Consider the following 17,167-nt stretch of genomic DNA (forward strand, 5'->3'; position numbering starts at 1 on the left):
ATTATGATTGCTCTTTGTGAAATAAAAGAGATAATAGATTGAGAAACAAAGAACCTTACTGGCCTACAGAAAGGAATATATAAAATTGATGAAAATGATGTCTTTGAGATTCTCATAAAATTAACTGCTTTTTAAATAACATTTTAATACCCGTTATTGACAAATTGCTGTTCTGGGACTTCTGAAACAGCAGCCACCTGGGTTTCTTGGAAAGTTTGCTCTGTGTGAAGGTAGCTGGCATGGAAAGAGTTCACATCTCTGAGACCACCATACTCTGAGGAAGTTCAAGGTACTACGAAGAGATGCAAAGAAGCCTTCAGATAACCACACTCCACTCATGATCCAACTGTGGCTTCATTACCTAGGTGAAAACCATGCAGAAGAGCCCAGTTAATCCCTAGAATTGTTAAGAGATTATACTAAATCATCACATAATTAGAACATTTTCAACATGAAAATTATGACTCAGTCATAATTTACTTACTCATAATTTAAGTAAATGGCCCAAGGTCACATAAATAAGTGATAAATTTGGGATTCAAACCTAGTTTATTCATCTTAATGCATTTTTGTACCCATCCTCTTATACGATTTCCTTATGTGGCTTACTTTTGTTGTTGTTTTTCTCTTCCACTGCAGGCAACCTACTGAGGCCTTTTCACCTCATGAACTAGTTTCTCCATATATATAGTTTTCCATCTCTTTCCTTCTCTTCCTTCCTCATCATTAGAATCTTCATTATCATAACAGTGACAACTTACATTTAGTAAGTCTGAAGTAAATGACAGACATCTAGCCTGAGATATGTAACAAGAATTTGGCACCTCTCGTTAAATAGCTCCCCAACTCATCCCCCACATGAGAGTCAAATTGTCATATCTAGATTCTGTGTTTAATAAACCACACTTTACTTAAACATTTCCTTTTCTTTTGGGATAGAGACCATATTCTCTATGGCATTTTTATTCTAGAAGGCAGTGTGGAAAATAAGCATGGATATTGAGGTAAATTTAGCTGGTAATAATTGCCATTAAAAAATAATAAATTAAGCAATGTACAGGTTGAGCAACCTAATCTCAAAATGAAAAATGCTCCAAAATCCAAAATGCTCAAAAATCTAAAACATTTCGAATGCTAACATGAGATCATAAGTGGATAATTCCATACCACACTTCATGTGATAGGTCACAGTTAAAACACAGTCAAAACTTTGTTTCATGCACACAATTATTAAAAATATTGTATAAAATTACCTTCTTGCTAAATATGTAAGGTGTATATGAAACAAAAATGAATTTAAGTTTAGACTAGGCTCCCTTCCTTAAGATATCTTATGTATATGCAAATATTCCAAAACCCAAACAACTCTAAAATACAAAACACTTCTGGTTCGGAGCATTTTTGGTCAGAAATTCTCAACCTGTAGTAGAAGGGACACCATGGGCAGAGTGAGGCAGGAGATTACTTAGCATATAGTGTCAGATAGGGCTGTCTAAGAAGATGACAGTTAGTCTGAGATTTGAAAGATGGAGGCTGGGAGTGATGACTCACACCTCTAATTTCAACACTTTGGGAGGCCAAGGCAGGAGGATTCCTTGAGGCCCAGAGTTCAAGACTAGCCTGGCCAACAGGGCGAAACTCTGTCTCTACCAAAAATATAAAAATTAGCTGGGCATATTGTTGCACGCCTGTAATCCCAGCTTCTTGGGAGGCTGAGGCACAAGAATTGCTTGAACCTAGGAGGTGGAGGTTGCAGTGAGCCGAGATTGTGCCACTGCACTCCAACCTGAGGACAGAGTAATTCAAGAGACTAAAATGGTGGGTTTTTTTTTGCTTGGGATATAATGATTAAGGAGGAAGCAGCATTTTAAAAAAATATGTTATAGAGATTTTTGGGGGCTGTGTAATATTAACACTGCAGTAATAGGAAATTTGACTTTTATAACTAGTATATTTTAAAAAGAAATGAAGTTGTTAAATAAAGGGGTTAGCATGGTATGATTTACAACTGCTGTTCAGCAGGGCGGATGCAGAAGCAGGGAGACCATGAAGCGACCCTTGTAGAACTGAATTAAGAGCTGTTTGCAACTTGGAATAGATGATGGCAATAAAGATGAAGAAGACGAATGCTGGAATCAATAGGATATCCTGATAGATTTGGATCTGAGGAATGAGGAAAAAGAAAAGAACGAGGAAAGTCTGTGAACATTTGCTGCAAGGAGCTGTAGAAGATGGGATCCGCTTACAGTAATTAGCCTGAGAGAATGGAGAAAGCATTTTTGAAGAGCTCTGTTTTATTTAGCTTAAGAGGCCTATTGAAATCCAATATATGAATGTTAATTGTTTAGGCAATAGATATATGATCTGAACAAGAGAGGGCTGCTTGGAAAACACCTGCAGGTAGAGTGATAGGACTGAATGGAATCTTTTTGTGAGAAAGATAGAGAAGAGGGTGCAGGGATGATTCCTGCAGGATGTGCAAGGTGAGAGTTCAGAGTATGAAGAGCGAGCAGGTGATAGAGAAGGGAAGAAAACTGATGTAAGCAAACTTAGACTGTGTTTTTTCTCAGAATCAAGTAACAGGATCTCTGAATTTTCCAAGCTCTGCATGTGTGCATATATGCCTTTGTGTGGGTGTGTGTTTATGACATTTAAAGCATGTTGAGGGCCAAGAAATGTTCATTGCTTTTAGCGACAAGAAGAATTGAAGTCTAACTAACTCTCTTTTAAATTATTTTTCTCTTGGATAATTCATTGTGACTTTCTGGATGCTTATGGGCACTCTTGCTTCTGTGGAAGGCTCTGAACTGAATTCCTCCAGTCTTCTTTCTTTTTCACAACTGGTTGACAATCAAGGCCAGGCCTGAGGCTCACCAGCTGTGAGTACTACACGTTGTGCCAGACAGTGCTACTTGATCTGCCCGTCCTTAGAGCCACAGTAATGGCCATGTAGAGCAACAATCCGCATGTGCTGTGCAAACATCGCTGAAAACAACTCTGAAATACAGTTTCGCTCAGTTCATGTGTCCACGAGAAACTCTGAGATGACAAAACGTAAATCTTTTTTTTTTTTTTCATTAAAGTAGATAAATCCTTCAACTGGAAGAAAACAAAACAGAAAGAATTACTTCTTCCAAGTGTAGATCTATAGATTTTGGATTTTTTTCATTTCTTTTTTTCTTTATGAAGTGGAAGATGCAAAAAGGGGCTGATCAACAAACCCTGATCTCTCAACTGGCCCATCAGTCTGTAGTTAGTTAAAACACAGAAGCCAATAGTTTGTGACACAATGCTGTTAAGTGGGAATGAGGGATTTGTTTAATACAATTTAAAATGATTTTGTGGTGTGCCTCATAGTCATAAAACATTTTATTCAAAACATAGAGTATAATAAATACAGGTACCTAATATTAATCCAACAGAAACTATACATTTTACTATTAATAGACAAGTGAAGATCTCTCTCCAATCAATAGAGAATATCAGTTTGAAGGGACAAGCGATGATTGGCTGATTAAATTGACAACCTGCACTCAACCAGCTGACCATTCTTAGTGAAATAATTCAGAGTGACAGCCAGATTTCTCGATCTGGTCCTGTTTGTGTGTCAATCACTTGCCAATACTTCTGAGTCACTCACAGATTTCCATGCAACTGTGTTGAAACAACCTCCTTTTTCATTTTTTTCATTTTTTTTTTTTTTTTGAGACATAGTCTCGCTCTGTCACCCAGGCTGGAGTGCAGTGACGCAATCTCAGCTCACTGCAAGCTCCGCCTCCCAGGTTCACGCCATTCTCCTGCCTCAGCCTCCTGAGTAGCTGGGACTACAGGCGCCCGCCACCATACCCAGCTAATTTTTTGTATTTTTAGTAGAGACAGGGTTTCATTCTTAATTCTACACATTCCTTTTAAAAATTAATTTCTTTCTAACTCATTCAGTCTATTCATGGTTCTGGACTCTCCACACTCCTGCTCTCACTGGGCAGGTAGGGAAAGTCTCCACATTGATGAAGTGCTAATCCCTCGACCCTCATCATAGCCACGCTAGCATTGGCTTCAGTTGACCTGAAGTGTTTGGGAGAAAAGTGAGAGATTTAACTACTTTAACCTCAATATTGACTTCACTGCTTACAAATATTTAACTGCCTGTATATTAATATATCCTTTAATATGTCCCCATGTACTGCATGTGTGTGTTCTGTTTCTGTAATTAGATTATAAACCCACTGGGGACAAAGCCATTTCATGCATTTTTTTAAACCCCTAGTGTATATTAATACAGTGACTTGCAAATCGTTGATAATAAAAATATTAGCTAATGGTAAAAAAGAATTACAACTAGATATTTATAGGCCTCTCTTTTACTAGCTTAGGTAAAAATTATATTGAATTAATTCTTATGTGCCATTAACTCCTTTTAAAGGTCTTGAAGCTATAAAATAATACATGTTTATTGAATATAATTATGCAACATATTTTAAGCATCAATACATCCATTTTTGTGAACCATAGTAAATTAGGTGTACTATCTTACAATGTGATTAATTTTCATATTCCTTTGTATTTTGATTTGGGTATTTGTTATATTTTTCCATTTTCAGCTGTATTTGTTTTACTTTTCCTCCTAATTTTTAAATTACTTGAGAAAGAGTGAAAATCTTTAACTTCATGTGTAAACTTTCATAGCAGTGAAAGTATTAGTCTGCAGTGATAGTACTCAATATATGTAATTGATCATTTTATTAATTGCCTGTCTCTGTAAACTTTGGTCAAAGTAAATTTGTTTCACAAGAGTATGCTGAATACCAGCCAAGATGCATAAGCTGTTTCCTAGGGGAATAACTTGCGGGCCCATGGATTGTTTATATATTTTTATGATGTTGGGTAACTGTTCCATAACATTAAGTTTCTGTGTTTACCTGAATACTTAGAAGAATATAAAAGCTTCTTAGCCTTAAACAAAATATTTCTGAAAAAGAAATCATTTAATCATGCTTATAAAGTGAATGAGAAATACAATAAGTATGATTCTGGCAAGTCTCAAAGCAAAATTTCTCAGAAAAAAAGAAGTGATAGTCTCACCATTCTCCCTAACTAGGGAAGCACTTTTATCCCTATCACTCATAAAGCAATAACACTTTATTCTCACAGTATTCTTTTTGCAAAAGAATGTAAGTGTTGACAAAAAGAGTCAAACTCTGTAAAATCTTTTAAGAGATTTATTCTGAGTCAGATATGAGTGGCCACGGCCTGTGACACAGCCCTCAGGAGGTCCTGAGAACATGTGCCCAAGGTGGCTGCGGTACAGCTTGGTTTTATATATTTTAGGGAGGCATGAGACATCAATCAAATAGATTTAAGAAACACATTGGTTTGGTTCAGAAAGGCGGGACAACTCAAAGCGGGGGCTTACAGGCTATAGGTAAATTTAAACATTTTCTGGTTGACGGTTGAGTTTGTCTAAAGATCTGGGATTGATAGAAAGGAATGTTTAGGTTAAAGGTAAAGGATTGTGGAAACCAAGTTTTATTGTGCAGCGGAAGCTCTCGGATAGCTGAGAGAGCAGAGAGACAGCAGGTTGTAAATTGTTTCTTATGGGACTTAAGAGGGTGCCTGGTTCTTAGTTGATTATCTCCTGGATTTGGGAAGGAAGGAAGGAAGGAAAACAGAGGGGTAAGGGGATTCTATAGAATGTGGCTATTTCCCACAAGAGACTTGGCAGGGCAATTTCAAGTTATGGCAAGGAAATATATTTTGGGGTAAAGCATTTTGATTTTCTTCCTTGTTATGCCAGAGTCAGATTGGAAAGTAAGTTACGATATACAGGGCTAAATAAATCCCACCTGATTAGAATTTATGGTTTGTAGGGCATGAGTCCCCAGACCCCTTAGAAAGGAATTTGGGTAAGATAAAAATCAGAACTTAGTCCTCATGAGAGTAAAAAAAAATAAACACACACATGCACACACAAAGAAACAGAACAAAACTTACATGTTAGCTTTCTTTTTTTTTTTTTAATAGGGGAATTTAAATGTGACACTCAGAACGTTTTAGTCATATTAAAAGTGCACCAGATTTCAAGTGTAGATATAATCCAACTAGACAAATACTCTCCTGGACCACTGTGGCTCTAGTTCTAACATTTAGCTGTTTTCCTCATAACCAAAGGATTCCAGTATACTGTAGCAGATTATAAGGCAGTAAAATGGATTACTCATCTCTTATTCCTGCTTAATATGGTGCATGTTTAAGAAATAGAGAGCCATAGGTTATGTATTTTATGTAATGTTATGGGAGATAATATTATCAAGATGATGTTTGATCCTTAACATAGGATCTTTCTTCTCTATCCCCATTCCAATATTTGCATTTCAAGAATGCCCTTATCTTTTGTTGTCTGGAGTTCTGCAGTAGTCTATTAACAGCTATTAAGTGTTTACAATCACAGTCACCTTAATTCTCTCCTTCAGCTACTGCCAAAATGAGCTTTGTAAACCAAAGCTCATTCTTCTCCTTTAGTCCCCACCACTGGAAACTCTGTAAGTGTCCCTAGGTTGCTTTCCTTGATTTCATATTTAACACGCATATTTATTTCATTGTACAATTTGGACTGTTGTGCATATTTCTAGTATTTTATTTATAGTAACAATTTAAATTTTAGACCAGAATGTTCCAACGTATTCATATGTCCATTTTCTGAAGGTTAATGCAAGTTTCCAAATCAAATATTCAACTATAAAACCAAATAGAAAATACTAAGATGGTAATGTCATCAGTTTCTAATGTGCTTGAGTTATTTTCATGTGTATGATAATTTCAAGAACCCCTGTGTAACCTGATTAGCAATAACAACAACTTCACTCCAAAATTTTGGAGAAGTTTACAGATATTGCAAAAATGTGTACTTATTTGCCAATTGTTTAATGCATCAAACATAACAACCACATATTTTTAAAATATTTATTTGGTAAGTAAGTAAGCATTATTTAAGAAATCCATATCATGGTGAAAAGAATTCACTGTGACTTTCCAGACAACTTATAGGCAAGTTTACAGGGTATCAAAAAACAGCATTCTTTTATGTTATCAGTTTATTCAATTCACTTATTAACTGATCATTGAGGAAATGACTTTCCTGTTTACTACCTGTCACCTAGTGAGTTAACACCTGTAATCATATAGAAATAGTAATCAGACTACAATGATTATTTTTAGTTTATTTATATTTGGGTTAATTTTCATTTAAGTATTGTTATTGATAGGTTAGAGATGAAACAGCTTGAGTGAATTTTTTAAATTATAATTTAATAAAAGAAGCTCAATGCTCTTAACTTGGGGTTACTGGGATTTTGAGACGCCAGAACAAGTGGCTAAAGAAAACTAGAGACTCATTTGATAAGTATCAATCAATTCAGCTAGCCTTTTTTTGTTGCTGTTACAGGAAATATAATCAAGCAGCACATAGGTCTGTGTATTCCCAATTATCATTCAACACTCCATAACTGTTATTTATAACTCTATGGAATGGTAACATTTGGGAGGAACAAGTGTGAGCCTCTGAAGAAAGGCTACTAAGGAAAAGAGAAACAGCTATGGTCATGTTTAAGCTCGATGTAAGTACATTTATGTGTTACCTTGTGCCAGGATATGCCCCAGTATTTGATCGAATATTATTCTGTGTGTAACTGTCAGGGGCTTGTTGATGAGATTAGCATTTGAATCAGTAGATTCAGCAGATGGCCCTCCCTAATGTGGGCCTCATCCAATCAGTTGAAGGCCTGGATGGAACAGTCTGAGGAAGACAATTTCTTCTCCCTATCTATCTTCATGCTGAGACATTGATTTGCTTTCCTGCCTTCAGACTCAAGTGGAAATACAGGATCCTCCTGGTTCTCAAGGCTGTTGACTTCTCAGACTGGAACTATGTCATTGGCTTTCTTAGTTCTCAAGTCATCAGATGGGGACTGGAACTATGCCACTGCCACTCCTGGGCCTCTAGCTTGCTGAGTACAGATTCATCACTGCTTGAGTCAATGCCTTGAAATAAACAAATAAATCCATCTCATTGGTTCTGTTTCTCTGGAGAATCTTAATACATTCTGTATTCTAATATAAATTGAATTCAAAAAAATGCGACTAAAATTCATTTAAGTGAAGAAAATTGAAAATGTATAATTTGACTTTCACTCATTTTTTACATTTATATTTTTATCATGTGTTTAGTAATCATTAATTAATTACTTATTGTGAGTACTGTGTGCTAATAATTGTTCAAAGCACATGAGATGGTATAGTAGCGAACCAAAGATCCCAGCCGTCATAGAGCTAAGTTAAACAGTAAATAACAAAAACAACATATAAGTAAGTTATTTGTATATTGGAAGGTGATAAATCATTTTGTGAAAAAGAAAAATATAGGGAAGTTGAAGGGGTCAGGAGTGCTGAGGGCAGGCGTATTTAGACATTTCACACAGTGGGTAGAATGGTCTTCACTAAGAAGATGACTTCCCTGCAAACCTTAAAGGAGTGTGAAGGTTCGTTACACAAATACCTTGGGAATAATATACCAGATAGAAGAGCCAATTTAAAGGTTCTAAGGTGAAACATGCCTAGAATATTCGAGAAAGAATGAGGAGGCCAATGCATCTTGGGCCTGAATGATCTCAGTTGGAGGTGAAATAGGATAAAGCCAGAGCAGTAACAGGGGAAGCGAGCTCATGGGCCTTGCTGACCAGTGTTAAGAAATAAGCTTTTGCACAGAGTGAAATGGGAAGTTATTCCCAAGGCTTGAAAGCAGAGGAATGATGTATTTAGTGATTGCTTTAAAAAGAACACTCTGGCTGCTGTCTTGCAAATAGGCTGGAGGAAGGAAAGGGTAGACGCAGTTAGCACGGCTGGAGGTAATGGCAGTAATCCAAGCAACAGATGAGGGCAAAGCAGAGGAGGCTGACTGCAGTAGATGTGGTGAGAAATGCCTGGATTCCAGGTATTACTCAAGATATTTCCTGGCAGGAAGAAGATGGGCTGTAAGAAGGGTCAAGGGAGATTCTGCCAAATTGTTAGCTTGAGCAACTGGCAAGTGGATTGTCATCAATGAGTATAGGTAAGATAGTGGATAGGATAAATTGGGAAGAACAGGAGTGAAATTAGGGGATTGTTTGTTTGTTTTGTCTATTAGAAAACCAAGATGGAGTAATCAAGAATGCTGCTGGATATGAGTTTAGAATTTGGGAATAAGATGTGCTTGGATTAAACATGTGAGAGTTATCCCACAGATGGGACACGCTCCTGAATGTGTCCCCTTTGCTATGCCTCCCTGGGATGCCCTTCCTACTTCTTCTTCAAAAGCCACGAAACTTAAACAGATTTTCAAGGGAGTCAGTGAAGACACTGAGAAAACAGGATGTGGACCTCATCTTTGGGAATAAAAGGAGAAACCAGGAAAGAAAAGTGGAAAACAACAACTAGAGAAACACGAGGAAACTCAAGAGAATGGGAACTTACTGGAGATAGAACCTGAGTGAAGTAAGTGTGAGGAGAAGAGTAAGACATTGTCAGATGTTGCTGGCAGGCCAAGCAGGAGGAGGAGCAAGAAACGACCACTGAATTCAGCAACGTGGGGCTCACGGGCAACTTTTATGAAGCAAGTTAGAGGAACAGTGGGATTGAACCTTAATGAATTATGTTTAAGTGCCATGTATACATTCCCATCATCTCTTTTAACTTATGACAATTACACCAAAAGATTTTAGAAGTCAAATTAAATTTAAGAGTATCTTGTTTCTTGCCTGGGCTTCTTGACTTTTAGATATGTAAAAATAGCCAATATAGATGTATTCTACTTCCAATGTACTTGGGAACATTTCTTAAATAAAAGAAAATAAAGTGGAGGACTGTTTTCTAGTTGTAGAGTTTGCATTTGCATTATGTAATAAAGAGTACAAGCACTATCTTCTATTAAAGATCTCCCTATGAACCTATGAGGTCCCTAAATCTCTGACATTAATTCCATTCTCCTACATGTTCCTAGATGATATGACTATGCTTTAGCAAGTTGTTACTGAATTGAGTGGTGATCGATACGTTATGTCCAATAATCTCCACTATTAGATCAATCTGAGTACTTTATTTAGGTGGCTAGTGGGAGCTGCGTGAAACAGGACAGAGACAGACATAAGCAACCTGAGAGTGGAAAAGAGCAGGGCACTCCTAAATATGGCCATGGATGTCTACAGCATCAAATATGTCATAAAAACAAGAACAATCATAATTTGATTTGAATGTAGTAATTATTACTATCACATAAACTTATGTATAAAACTAGCTAAATCTAATCCCTTGATATCTTATAATGCGCCATCTCAATATATGAGCTACAAATATTAAAGTGATAGTTCTGGTCCTCAGCAGTCCCCCCAAACTTTTTGCCTTTTTGGCACCACGGACCAGTTTCATGGAAGATAATTTTTCCATGGATGGGGGGTGGGGGTAGGGGGTGTGGTGGGGGGAGGGTATGGTTTCCTGATGAAACTGTTCCATCTCAGATCATCAGGCATTAGTTAGATTCTTATAAGGAGCACACAACCTAGATCCGTCCCATGCACAGTTGACAACAGGGTTCGCGCTCCTATGAGAATGTACTGCCCCAGCTGAGGTGACAGGAGGCAGAGCTCAGGCAGTAATGCTAGTTAGCCCACTGCTCACATTTGCTGTGCAGCTGGTTCCTAACAGGCCATGGACTGGTACTGGTTAGTGGCTTTCCTATATCTTAAATATATGAAAGGATCATTATTTTTAATGTCCTTCAATACCACATGGCATAATTCCTAAATGTCAAAACAATCAAACCACTGTTTAGGATGATGATTATATTTTTTGTGATATAAATACCAAAAAGCAGATTTAAGCACTGATATAATAAATCAAATCAACTCGAATGGGTAAAAATCATTTAAACAGATGGTTTTTCCAAATTCTATTTTATTCAGTAAATATAAATTATGCTTACTAGAAAGTTCAGGACTAATTGATTCTTTTTTACAAGTTCATAAAACAAAGTTGAATCTGTTCAACTCACCATCTCAAGACCATGTTTGTTTGTGCAAAATAAAGTACCCCATTTTAATTCTACCTAATTATATGTTTTGCAGTTCCATAAATATGTTTTTTCAACAATGCTTCTAAAACATTACTTTCTTGGGAATATAGGTGTACTTTTAAATATCATAAAATTTTTGGGCTTGCTATAGTTTATTTCATATTTAAAATAATATATTTTCTATATTAATTGCTCTAAGATGACTTTATTTGGATATATTAAACAGAAAAGAACTTCTAAAGATGTAAATTTAATATGTTTTCTAAGTATTTTATTATTCACTAAATTAAATTCATGCCTTTAAGTTTCTCTCTGAAAACCCCCATCTTTCTTTCTTTGCTTCACTGAACACCCTACAGCTTCCCAAAGGGAAAAATAAATAAAGGCTCTAATAATGAGTAGTTTCCCAAGGCACATCTTGTCTTGATTTGGAATACTTTTAATGAAGGCAAGAATAATCAGTCTCCACTGTGTTTATCAAAACTTTGGAACTTTGCAGTACACTTTTTTTCTTTGAAATATATAAATGATTGCACAGGCTTCCTGTTCAAATCGGTAAAGTTTCTTTTAACTATTTGAATGATATGTTTTGACAAAGAGTCTCCAATGCTTTAATTTAAAGGCAGGTTTATGATCAATAATGGATACGATTATGATGAGTGAAGGTTTACTGATTTCCTTCTTTGCTTGTCACCCAGGGCTCTGTGAGTGGTTTCCTGTCTCTATCACACTTGTCTAGTTAGAATGTATTTTAACTCTTCTCCCCCCATGTCTAATTCTGTAAGGGCTGAACACAAAATTAGGCATATGTGAAATTTTGGTTAATTTTATTTGTTGTTATTCATTATAATGTGATTTATTTCATTTACAAGGTTGTTCAGGAAGAGGGCAGCAAATTGGACAAATCTTTGAGTTATACACCTATGTAAACAAATACAAGAATATTTTAGGCTACTCACAATACCAACCTGAGATTAGTTGAACCCTTAAATCCAACTGCAGTGAAATAGAAACTATAGTGAAGAATAGACGTCTAGTAAAGTGAGGAAATAAAACAAATAAAATCATTCCCAGATTTCTCAACTGATCTGTCTTGAAATACTTGGAACGCAACCTTTTTCCTCTGTGTGTTACATGACCCCTTTTTGATAAATTAGGTTAATTTAAAACATAGAATTACCTTATCATCAAATAACACATCTAGAAAAAATGTTGAACAATCATCCATCCAATCAATTATTTCATCTTCATATCTAAAATACTCAAAACTTATTATTTAAACAAATTCCTCAAGAAAAGTGCTTGAAAAAGAAATTTATTTTTAAACAATTGGAATTCTTTTGTGTTACATGTGTATGCATGTATGACATCACATTCTCTATAAAAGTCATAATCAAATTATTGAAGGTAATTAAATGGTCATCTTGAAAAAGATGTTTGTGTATCATTCTTGATCTATGCTCATTTATTTTTACAATTTACATAGGTACTGAAGTGGAGATTAATGTGGCTTAATAAGGATTATTTTTTATCTTCTTAAGTTAGATTCACTCTGCTGTTTACCTGTTATTAGTAAATCGTCTCCCCCAAAACAATGACAAAAAACATCTGTAATGACATTGGCAAATAATTAACCTTATATGGGAAATATAATTTATTTAATAATTGTTAATGTTAATTTAATAAAGTTAATTGTATGTCATTAATTTTTACTAGACATTTTATATAAACTATCAAATGTAATTTTCAAGTTTTCATATGATAAAGCTTAATTAACATCACATTTTAAAAATGAATCTGAAGATTAATTTATTAAAATAAAATCTGCAACATTATTTATAGGAAACACTGGAACTGAAATATAAATTCACAGTAAACTGAGTTCAAAAATTTATGAATGTTTTTGCTATGTTGTCATATCTCTATTAAAGTACTTATAACTACAAGATGTGGATAATTTCAGTAATCACATACTGCAATGGCTCAGTCTGAATAAATAATCTACATTCACCAGGACTACACCGTGCAGTAGTAACCGGTATCCACATGTGGCTATTGAATATGGCTAGCTGAACTGGGACGTGCAGTAAGTGATGTAAAATACATGCTAATTGCAAAGTCTTGGTTCATAAAAATAAAGCAAAATATAATTAATATTTCAGATTGGATACATAGTAAAATAATATTATATTTAGATATATAGAGTTAAATAATATATAATTAAAATTAGTTTTCTCTTTTTTGTAATTTATTTAGTTTTGAAACTAGTTTTAAAATTTAATTTATTTAAATTTAAAGAAATTCTTAAATTTAAGAAGATACATTTAATTAAAAATTATACATATGACTCATATATGTGTGGTTCACATTCTATTACTGTTGGACAGCTCTGTTCTACATCACTTTTGTTTGCAATAAATGACATTATTAATGACAACAATGCTGAATGAAAAATCATAATGGAGAATACAAAAATTACACACATTCGAGAAAAATACCTGTCAACCTTTTAAGTTTCTTATACATGATAAGATCTCTTGAGGTTTCTATTTCATTTTCCCTGGGACCTGGGGGAACCACACTCATTATATGCATCACGTGCAGTGACAGGTGTAGTTACAGCTGCAAAAAGATCTCCTTTTATATCTCAATTTCCATGTTCTGAGAATGAAGAATATTTCACCTTTCATCTGGAAATTTGCCATTACATAGCCTCAGGCCAAAAGCTTTATTTAAAAAAAAAAAATTCGTAAAAATTGTCATGAGTGGCAAAGACACACTTTTTTTTCCTTTGCCAAACATTCCGAATAAATTTACTTTATTAAGTAAATTAAAATTATGAATATATAAAATATTCAATAAGGACAATAAATTTTTTACAATGACATGCATTATATTTCTATCCCAGATGTGATTTACATCATCGATCAGTAGTATCTCAATTATTCAAAATGAGAAGAGGAAAGCATGCCGTGAATTCCCATTAGAAATCTTAAACAGTTAATCATGAGCTCTTTTTACTTAAGATGATAAAGATCACCCTTTGACTTAGCTTATTATTTTTGTCTTTCTGTCCATAATTTACTAGTTGTTTATGAGAAGCCAGGCTTGGAAATTTTGCTTCGGGGCAAGCAGTTGTGGAAATTATTCTGCCCTCTAGAAATCCTGTGTTTTTTTTTCTTGCATGATGGGAAGCTCCTAATGATAAGTGCTGGCTTGAGAAACCCATAAAAATCTTTGTTCATTTGAAATAGCTACAAGCTTTTAGGGGTCTTTGTTGTTCAGTGTCTACTGGATTATGGAAGTTGTAAGAGGGAATAGACAAAGTCTCAGAAGTCTTAGTAGTATTTTATCTTATAGGGATTGGGGTGTCACATATAGACAAAGGTGTAAGGTTTCATCAGATAGTCTAAGAATTACTAAGGATTATGAGCTTAACCACAGACAGGATTTATACAGGTATTCATATAATGTATTTATTGAGTTGTTGTTTATTATGCGTTTTAGTCATGCTAAGTACTGGGAGATAAAAAGGTGAAAATCTAACAGTCACAATTTTTATTTCTAGAAGGATAGTAACTTGAAAGATTTTCTCAATCAAAATTAATAAATGATGAATAAAATTCAGCCAAAAACTTTGTAATCCACAAATGAGCTAACAAAATATAAATGAAATGCAATAACTAAATCAAAGAGAAAAACATAACCCTAGGAGATAAGAGAGCACCAAGGCTAATATTAACCCTGAGGGTTTGTGTTCTTTAGTAAGAATAAATTATATGGTCACACTTTTCTTTTTCCATTTTATCACAATGACTGCGGAATATACTTGAAAAGCAACATGTTGACATAATTAAAATGACATTTTTCATTAAGAACATCTTTATATCAAGCAGTGTCCATTAATATAGTAATCAGCCAAGTGCAGTGTTTCTCTAAATATTCCTTTCCATTTTATATGTTTAAAAATACCTAGCAGCGTAAAAATAACAAGTCCTGAATTTTGCCTCCAGAAGGATTATGTTTCAGCCCTCAGACACATAATATGGAATAAAGAATTTTAGATGATATGAGTCACCAATGTCAATCAATTTTAGTGATATGGTTTAAATATGTCCTCCCCCCAACACACACACAATTCATACATTGGAAAGTTAATCTCCAATGTAATAGTGTTGATATGTGGGACCTTAAAGAGGAGATTAGATCATGAGGATTTTGTCTTCATGAATGAATTAATGCCATTATTCTGGGAGTGGGTTTCCTATAAGAATATGAGTTTGACCCCTTTCCCTTTCTTCTTTGCCCATGTGATGCCTTTTGCCATGTTACGATGCAGCAATAAGGTGCTCAACAGATGCCAGCTCCTTGCACTGACTTCTCAAATCTCCAGAGCTGTGAGAAATAAATATCCATTGTTTATAAATTACCCAGTGTGGGGTATTCTGTTATAGCATCACAAAGTGGACTAAGACACCTAAATAGATGATGCCACTAAAAATACATAAAAATGATGTTTGGAAACTCTTGAATTCATATGAGTGAGCATTGTTAAGGGAATAAGGGAGGTCATAACATACAGAAACCAGTAACAGCCAGACACTGTTAACACCCCTAGGGCTGATGTAGTAAGTAAGGAAATAACATAGCTTTTGCACATAGAAAGGGGGACACTGAGTAGGACCTTAGTCTTGGTGTGATGCTATCAACAGAGGCGAAGTGGCTCATGCCTGTAATCCCAGCACTTTGGGAGGCCGAGGTGGGTGATCACCTGAGGTCAAGAGTTCAAGACCAGCCTGGCCAATATGGTGAAAGCCCATCTGTACTGAAAAAAAAAAAAAATTAGCTGGGAATGGTGGTGCACACCTGTAGTGCCAGCTACTTAGGAGGCTGAGTCAGGAGAACCACTTGAACCCAGGAGGCGGAGGTTGCAGTGAGCCAAGATAGCACCATTGCACTCCAGCCTGGGCAACGGAGAGAGGCTTTATCTAAAAAAAAAAAAAAAAAAAAAAAACAAAAAACAAAAAAACACGCACACACACACACACACACACACACACACACAACACAGACCACCAAACAGAAACAAACTTTCCCCTTAAATACTGTGCTACACTGAGTGAAGTGATGAAGTGATGCCTTGTTTTCTTCTATGTAGAAACCAAATATTAAAATAAGAAGCCCAAGTAAACCAATGTTCTATGCCAGACAGAACAATGAATTTCTTATTGTCTGTGCTTCTTATATTAGATAAGAAATTTGTGGTATTCCATCAGTAGAAATTCATGCTGAAATGTATTAAAAATTTACAAGGCACAGTAGGTATAATGAGGTTATTAAAATGAGTAAAATGTGGTCCCTTTTCTCAAGGATTTTATTTGAGGGGAAATAACACATATTCAATAATGTCAGACACAATGTAAGTATTGAAAGAGATTTAATCACACTATTGGTAAAAGCATATAAAAAGATAATTTATTTCTGAATGGAAGTATCCAGGGAGGCATCAGAAAAAGCTAGTTTTTGAGTAGAGAATGAAAGTCAGAATCAGGGGAATGGATTATTCTACGGAGAGGGAGTAGCATGTGAAAAATAATCTCAGAATAATACAAGTAAGTCAGGAGAGGTTCAGGTATTTTAATATCTAAATCAGAATATGGGGTACTTTTCCCCCTACCAGAAGATAAAACCAGAAATGGAAGTTGTGGCCATATTTTAATAGACCTGAACATTATATTTAGAAGTTTGTTGAGAATAATGAAATTCTTTAAAGGTCTATAGTGTAGCAGTGATATCAGAATGATTAAATAATTTATTATCACTTCTAATTCTTACATTATTTAAAAATTATTTTAAATTACTTATTATATTCTAATGAACAGTGAGAAAGTATATGATATGGTTTGGAACTGTGTTCCTATCAAATCTCATGTCAAATTATAGTCCCCAGTGTTGGAGGTGGGGCCTGCTGGGAGGTGGTTGGATCATGGATCATGAATGGTTTCGCGCCATCCTCTTGGTACTGTGCTCACAACAGTGAATGAGTTCTTGTGAGATCTGTTCATTTAT

At 35.1% G+C, this 17,167-nt stretch overlaps 1 annotated feature.

Moving 5' to 3' along the window:
• Positions 2,576–2,745: an enhancer, noted in NCBI's record as "experimental_76488 CRE fragment used in MPRA reporter constructs". NCBI's record gives its function as "activates a minimal promoter by MPRAs in K562 erythroleukemia cells, with activity observed for both the introgressed and non-introgressed 4:179699624 variant alleles {active_cell/tissue: K562}" and the evidence as "EXISTENCE:reporter gene assay evidence [ECO:0000049][PMID:34662402]".

This window comes from Homo sapiens, chromosome 4, assembly GCF_000001405.40.
Source record: "Homo sapiens chromosome 4, GRCh38.p14 Primary Assembly".
Taxonomy (NCBI): domain Eukaryota; kingdom Metazoa; phylum Chordata; class Mammalia; order Primates; family Hominidae; genus Homo; species Homo sapiens.